Genomic DNA, 6,534 nt, shown 5'->3' with positions numbered 1-6,534 from the left:
CACCAATCGGAGCTGTCCAGGTGCGGTGACCGATGCCCGAAGCGTGGCTCCTTCCGATTGGTCAGGGTTTGCAGCTTTTCTCCAATCAAATGGCTCCGCGGGCCCCTCACACGTGGGACCGCCCCTTTGCCTGGGCGGCCTTGGCCTCTAAGGGAAAACGTCCAATGAATGTAAGCAGAGAACACATCCATCCTTTTAGAGAGGTCGCGGCGGAACTACTTCCGGATCCTAGAGAGCGTTTATTCCGTGACCGGGGAAACGGTAGCCATGGCAACGTGTTCTTCACCCTTTCCCATCTATGCCTGGGGTTTCGTTGGAAGTGATTCCAGCACGACTTTCGCGGCCAGCTTTCTCGTGTGGCGGCGCTTCTCGGAAAGAAGAAACACACGAGAGAGGTTGCAAATCCCCTAGAACCCTTTCAGATGGCGGGGGGGCGGGGGGGTGGCGGTGGTGAGAAACTACAGCTCCCGGCATGCAACGTCCTAGGGGTTCACTGCATTGAATGCTGGGGGTCGTAGTCTTTGGTCTCTGAGGACCAGCTGCGTAGTTTTGGCCCTTTCTTTCACGTTCCCCCAGCGTGTCTTTGCCAGAGCCCTGCCCTGCGTCTTAGATGTTACATCTCGTTCTGATTACAGTAGAGATATGTGCCTATTCCAGGAGTCTCCATTGTACACAGCTTTTAGAAGCGGGCCTAGAAAGCCTTCATGCCTCGGGCAAGGCCGCCCGGTTCTGGGGGGTCGGTCTGAGTCTGGGGGCTCCGCCTCCGGCTCAAGAGCACGAGTTTCCGAATCCGCCTACAAGTGCGTCACTTGGGCAGCCGGAGCGTTCACCTCCTCTGTGCCTTTCCGCGGCCGGAATCCCCAGGCCTTCCTTATCTGGTTTACAGAAGAACGTGGTTGGGACCTTCCCGACCACCTTAGGGAAATCGCGAGCAGCGCTGAGGCCTTCGACTCCCCAATAAAGTACAAAGGCGGCGGTGACCTGACGGTCGTAGAACCCTTTCTGTGAATCAGGTGGAGAGCGTGGTCGTAAAAGCGGGTCTAGCACAGAAAAGGAAAACCCTTAGTTTAACGAGTGCAGGAGGATGCACCTGCAGATATTTGAAAGCAAAACCTGTGGTGCTGCACATGAGAACGGGATTGCAGCTTTGTAACTTCATAGAAATACCCTGTCTGTGCTCAGAAGGACATATAAAACACCAGGTGTCTTTCCTGTGAGGGAAGTCCCTCATGCTAAACTTGTGCCTTTGGAAATATTTTCTACGTCTCTTTAACCTACTCTATACGTTACCCCCTCGCATACCCGCGCCCGTCTCTGACATAGACACCCCACTTCCTTATTGCTTCCTCCAACAAAATTGAACTTTGAATATCTTTTCAGATAATCGTCCGAATTCCTGAAGACAAGTTTTTTAGTGACAGTCTGTCACAGTCTTTTACAACTTCCCGTATTTAGTGTGCGGATCTTGGCTCTGTGGTTGGCGCTCACGTGTTGTGGTGGTGCCTTATTTACATCTGCCCAATTTACCTACATTTGTTATTAGTAAGCAAAGAGTAGCTTACAAAGAATGCTTTATGTATGCTTCTGTGCTTTCATCTTTTTTTAAAAGAGCATACTAGAGTGTGAATTACATTCAGAGATTTCAGTTGCATTTTTGTATATTTTAACTCCTTTATTTTTTGTTTTGAGAGAAAACTGAGTTTCTTCACTTTTTTTTCTGCATTTCACAGCTCAACTTCTTGACCTTTTCCTCCAATTCTGAATAAGTAAGCAACCAGTTCTGAAACTGCAAATGCCACCTTAACTAGTGAGTGGTGGGGAGTTGGTGCTGCACCTGGAGAGAACTGAGACAGAGACATATCCTTCAAAACAGAGCCACTGCTTGTGGGTAGACGTTTCTGCAGATGATGATGGGAATTCATGAGGCAGACAGAGCACAAGATGGTAGGCTGGCATAAGATGGCGGGCCGTTGTCTGATCAACTCTGTCCCTTGAAGATTGGCTCTCTGGGCTGGGAGCGGTGGCTCATGCCTGTAATCCCAGCACTTTGGGAGGCTGAGGTGGGCGGATCACCTGAGGTCAGGGGTTCAATACCAGCCTGGCCAACATGGCGAAACCCCGTCTCTACTAAAAACACAAAAATTAGCTGGGCGTGGTGCCGCATGCCGGTAATCCCAGCTACTCTGGAGGCTGAGGCTGGAGAATCGCTTGAACCCAGGAGGCGGCGGTTGCAGTGAGCCCAGATCACGCCACTGCACTCCAGCCTGGGTAACAAGAGCAAAAATTCCATCTCAAAAAAAAAAAAAAAAAGATTGGCTCTCCGGCTGAGTACCTTGTAAAGAGAATAGGCCGCTTAGTTAATTCCCAGCTTTGTTGTTTCTCGCTGTGGTCTCTTCACCTCTTCTGACTTTTGACCTAGTTCCCATCTTGGCCTAGCTCCTCCAGAACTAACACTCCAGATAGTTATTAAGTTTCCTGCCTTTGTATCGGATTCCCTTGTCCTAATTTTAGCTTTTCTCTATGTATTGCTGGAAACAGCTACTGTTGTTGTTGTTGTTGTTAAGCTTCTCCTTGAGCAAAGCTAACCCCACTAGATAGCACCCCACTTTGTAGTTAAACTCGGAAGGAAAAACCAATAGGTAAAGGAATGCAGTTAAGGGCACTGGATAGCTCTCTAGTAGGCAGGTGTAGTCCAGCAGTGGGGAGTCAGGGGGAAGGCAGACTGGGGAGACCAAGGCAAGAAAGCAATTGGCATCAGGGAACATTAAGGAATAGAGCCAAGCTCCAAGGTGAATTGGTTGGTTGGTTGATTGGTTTATTCATTAATTAACTCATCATTTCAGCAAATGTTGAGGGCCTAGTATGTGCCAGGAATTATGCTAGGTGCTAGAAATACAGGGGTGAGTAATATAGATATGGTTTCTGTTTATATAGAACTTGTGCAAATGTGTTTTTTTTAATTTTTAAATTTAAATTTTAAAAATATATTTTTTTGAGCCAGGGTCTTGCTCTGTTACCCAGGCTGGAATGCAGTGGCAGGATCATGGCTTACTGTAGGCCCGACCTTCTGGGCTCAAGCAGTCCTCCCATCTCAGCCTCTTGAGTAGCTGGACCGCAGGCATGTGCCACCAACATCTGGCTAACTTAAAACTTTTTTTTGTAGGCCTGGCACAGTGGCATGTAATCCCAGCACTTTGGGAGACCGAGGTGGGCTGATCACTTGAGGTCAGGAGTTTGAGACCAGCTTGGCCAACATGGTGAAACACCATCTCTACTTAAAAAATACAAAAGTTAGCCAGGTGTGGTGGTAAGCACCTGTAATTCCAGCTGCACAGGAGGCTGAGGCAGGAGAATCACTTGAACTCTGGAGGTGGAAGTTGCAGTGAACCGAGATCACACCACTGCACTCCAGCCTGGGTGACAGCGAGACTCGGTCTCAGAAAAAAAAAAAAGAAAAAAAAAAGGGATACTTTGAGCTTATTATGAACAAAGTTGAGGTTTTTTTCTTTTGTAAAGATGGGGTCTCCCTATGTTGTCCAGGCTGTTCTCAAACTCCTGGGCTCAAGCCTGCCTCCGCCTCCCAAAGTGCTGGGATGACAGGCGTGAGCCCCTGTGCCCAGCCTTGTGCAAATATTAACAATGGAGTTACAGCATAAGTGCAAGTATCTTATTTAAACTGAAGTAAAGATATAAAAGAATGTCTGCAAAGGAGTACCAGGGAACTTTTTGGGGTGACAGAAATGCTCTTGATCTTGATATCAGTAGTTGTTAAAACTCATCAAACTGTACACTTTAAAAGGTTAAATTTTATTATGTATACCTCAACTAAAGAAAACTAACAGCAACTATCATTCTAAACAACAAAACACTAAAAGCCATTTCACTAAAAATCAAGAACCAGACACAGATGCTTGCTGTGGTTAGTAATGTCCCACACAATTTAGGAGGATTTAACAAGACAAGGAAATCAAGTAATTGGCATAAATTTTAGAAAAGGTGGAGTCCTTTATTTTGAAATTCCTTCTTACTGATGACAATTGCATGTCCCAGAAATCCAGGAGACCCTAGGGTTTTTTGTTTTAAGTATAGAATGATTAATTCCAGTTCTAGTAGCGTATACTTAAGTTGCTGCAGTTAAAAAGCTTATAGTTGGATCTTGGAAGTGGGTGGGTGATCTGCCTCGAGTTGAGCCACTGCCCAGCCCCTTAAAAAAAAAGTATAGAATAATATGAGAATCTGGTAAATTATTGGCTATCAGATAAATATATAAAAATCACTAGTTTTGCTCTAATCTTTTAAAAAACACATCGAAGTGAAAATTTTAAAAAGTGTCACTCAGAGACAAAAACCATAAAATACTTAGAAATAAACTTAAGAAAGACATAGTTGCAACATGAAGAAAACTATAAAATATTGAGGAATATAAAACAAATGAAGAACTTGGGTCAGGTCCCATAACCCTTATATTATCTATTGTTGTATAACAAACTACCCCTAAATTTAGCAGCTTAAAATAGTAAACATTTATTCTCTCATACAGTATCTGTAGGTCAGGAATCCAGAAGCACCTAACTGGGTAGTTCTGGCTCGGGTCTCTCATGAGCTTGCAGTCAAGATGTTGGCTGAGGCTGAAATCATCTGGAGGCTCAAGAGGAGCTGGAGGATCTGCTTCCACGATGGCTCCTTCACATGGCTGTTGGCTGGGGCCTCAGTTCATCATCACATGGACCTCTCCATAGGGCTGCTTAAGTGTGCTCACAGCATGGCAGCTGGCCTCCCCTGGAGTGAGTGATCCAAGACAGAGAACAAAGCAGGAGGCACAATGACTCATAACCAACCTCAGAAATCACACACCATCATTTCGGAAACAACCCTACTCAATGAGATTATATGAGGCTGTAAATACCAGCAGCCAGAGAGCACTGGGGCCTGTTTGGAGGCTACTTATTATACCTTAGTTGCAAGGCAAGCTGGGAAAGGATTTACATGGCATTTTCAGCTTCTCTCATGGGAGGCTCAGAATCATAAGGTGGGGGTTTTCCTCATGTAACAATGAGATTCAGATGCTGCGAAGTGAAAAAGAATGATGTGTCCTCTACATATTTGAATATACAAACAGATCAGTGCAACCAGTCGGGCATGGTGGCTCAACACCTGTAATCCCAGCATTTTGGGAGGCTGAGGTGGGTGGATCACTTGAGGTTGGGAGTTCAAGACCAGTCTGGTCAGCGTGGTGAAACCCCATCTCTACTAAAAATACAAGAATTAGCCAGGCGTGGTGGTGTGCACCTGTAATTCCAGCTACTGGGGAGGCTGAGGCGGGAGAATCTCTTGAATCTGGGAGGTGGAGGTTGCGGTGAGTGGAGATTGTGCCACTGCACTCCAGCCTGGGCAACAGAGCAAGACTCCACTTCAAAAAAACGACAAAAGAAAAAAGAAAAAAGAAAAAAAAAATCAGTGCAACCAAATAATCCAAAAATAGATTGTTTCAATTTAAGATAAGACAAAAAGTGATATTTCAGTTCAGAGGGGAAAGGATAGTTAATATCATAAATGATACTAGCCTTGACTGGTTATCCATCTCAAGCAAAATAAAGTTAAACTCCTATCTTGCACCATATAAAAAATAAATTCTTGCTTATAAGAAACTAAGAGAGCCTGTGAGTATACAAGGCAGGGATGGGAGAGACTTTTTTAACCAAGAATGAGTATCCAGACAATTTAACAGCCTAGGGTGTTTCCCACGCCTCTTCCTCCTGGACAGGCTCTGAGCTCCAATTTTTGTCTGTCTAGCACTAGCAAGCACCATGTAGCCTCTGAGCTTTGCTGAGCTTCTCAGCATTGTGCCTTCTAAGAATATTGGTTCTGAGTGGCATAAGAATTAGCAAACACTTTAAGGGGGAAAGGCAACAGGAGAAGGTAGGGTTCACTTCTCAAAGCTTCCCTTCTCTCTGGAATCTTGCCTCTTGAAATCCTGGTTGCTGGGTATCTATCTGATGTCTTTAAATAGTTTCTCAGGTATCTCCTTCAGCTTCTCTAGTGGTTCTGCGGGGAGGGCCGTTCTGCTTGAAATTGTCTGTCGTAGTTGAATGTAGGCGTAGATGTAGATTTGCATAGTAGATGTTGAAGTCCTTGGTCCCATTGTCATGTTTCCAAAACACCAGATTTCACCTAAGATGTTAAGCAACCATAATTATTTTCTCATATTATCCTTTTGGTTGTTTCTCATCAAGCAATTTATATGATGTTCAATATTTCCAAACTATGGAACTTGTATTATTTTTGGCTATAGAGCAATAAGTGTGTTTCTAAATATTAGATGTAATTACAACTATATTTACATTATGTTCTCTTTTTGAAAAGTTTTAACTGCAATTTTGAGTTACTTGTGATCTTTTCCCCAGACCCTGTTACCCCAGCTCACACCATATTACCCTCCTTGAGAACTGACTTTGAATTTATAAAATGGTTACTTGCATCTGCTAATAAAAACCCCTGGGTACTCTGACTCTCTTACATACAATCAGAAAGTTT

At 44.5% G+C, this 6,534-nt stretch overlaps 1 long non-coding RNA gene and 1 pseudogene across 2 annotated transcripts in view, besides 8 other annotated features; one reads left to right on the top strand and one right to left on the bottom strand.

Moving 5' to 3' along the window:
- Nucleotides 66-6,534, top strand: part of TTC41P (tetratricopeptide repeat domain 41, pseudogene) — an 86,463-nt pseudogene continuing 79,994 nt past the window's right edge. The window contains exon 1 of the transcript NR_027249.1: nucleotides 66-395. The product of NR_027249.1 is annotated as a tetratricopeptide repeat domain 41, pseudogene (transcript). The remainder of the gene's footprint in view (nucleotides 396-6,534) is intronic.
- Nucleotides 142-401: an enhancer, noted in NCBI's record as "active region_6902". NCBI's record gives its function as "activates an Ori minimal core promoter by ATAC-STARR-seq in GM12878 lymphoblastoid cells {active_cell/tissue: GM12878}" and the evidence as "EXISTENCE:reporter gene assay evidence [ECO:0000049][PMID:35858748]".
- Nucleotides 452-671: an enhancer, noted in NCBI's record as "active region_6901". NCBI's record gives its function as "activates an Ori minimal core promoter by ATAC-STARR-seq in GM12878 lymphoblastoid cells {active_cell/tissue: GM12878}" and the evidence as "EXISTENCE:reporter gene assay evidence [ECO:0000049][PMID:35858748]".
- Nucleotides 1,938-2,120: a silencer, noted in NCBI's record as "fragment chr12:104321935-104322117 (GRCh37/hg19 assembly coordinates)". NCBI's record gives its function as "represses an EF-1alpha promoter that drives an FKBP-Casp9 reporter gene in an ReSE screen in K562 erythroleukemia cells {active_cell/tissue: K562}" and the evidence as "EXISTENCE:reporter gene assay evidence [ECO:0000049][PMID:32094911]".
- Nucleotides 2,865-3,034: an enhancer, noted in NCBI's record as "experimental_23563 CRE fragment used in MPRA reporter constructs". NCBI's record gives its function as "activates a minimal promoter by MPRAs in K562 erythroleukemia cells, with activity observed for both the introgressed and non-introgressed 12:104321106 variant alleles {active_cell/tissue: K562}" and the evidence as "EXISTENCE:reporter gene assay evidence [ECO:0000049][PMID:34662402]".
- On the bottom strand, nucleotides 3,986-4,804 carry LOC124903001 (uncharacterized). Its single transcript, XR_007063430.1, has 2 exons — nucleotides 4,539-4,804; nucleotides 3,986-4,204 (listed from the first exon to the last, which is right to left on the bottom strand). It is a non-coding gene; the product is annotated as an uncharacterized LOC124903001 (long non-coding RNA).
- Nucleotides 4,512-4,571: an enhancer, noted in NCBI's record as "active region_6900". NCBI's record gives its function as "activates an Ori minimal core promoter by ATAC-STARR-seq in GM12878 lymphoblastoid cells {active_cell/tissue: GM12878}" and the evidence as "EXISTENCE:reporter gene assay evidence [ECO:0000049][PMID:35858748]".
- Nucleotides 4,612-4,661: an enhancer, noted in NCBI's record as "active region_6899". NCBI's record gives its function as "activates an Ori minimal core promoter by ATAC-STARR-seq in GM12878 lymphoblastoid cells {active_cell/tissue: GM12878}" and the evidence as "EXISTENCE:reporter gene assay evidence [ECO:0000049][PMID:35858748]".
- Nucleotides 5,112-5,171: an enhancer, noted in NCBI's record as "active region_6898". NCBI's record gives its function as "activates an Ori minimal core promoter by ATAC-STARR-seq in GM12878 lymphoblastoid cells {active_cell/tissue: GM12878}" and the evidence as "EXISTENCE:reporter gene assay evidence [ECO:0000049][PMID:35858748]".
- Nucleotides 5,820-5,889: an enhancer, noted in NCBI's record as "active region_6897". NCBI's record gives its function as "activates an Ori minimal core promoter by ATAC-STARR-seq in GM12878 lymphoblastoid cells {active_cell/tissue: GM12878}" and the evidence as "EXISTENCE:reporter gene assay evidence [ECO:0000049][PMID:35858748]".

This window comes from Homo sapiens, chromosome 12 (assembly GCF_000001405.40).
Source record: "Homo sapiens chromosome 12, GRCh38.p14 Primary Assembly".
Lineage (NCBI taxonomy): Eukaryota > Metazoa > Chordata > Mammalia > Primates > Hominidae > Homo > Homo sapiens.
The sequence above is the reverse complement of the archived record's forward strand: the minus strand, read 5'-3'. Positions and strand labels throughout refer to the sequence as shown.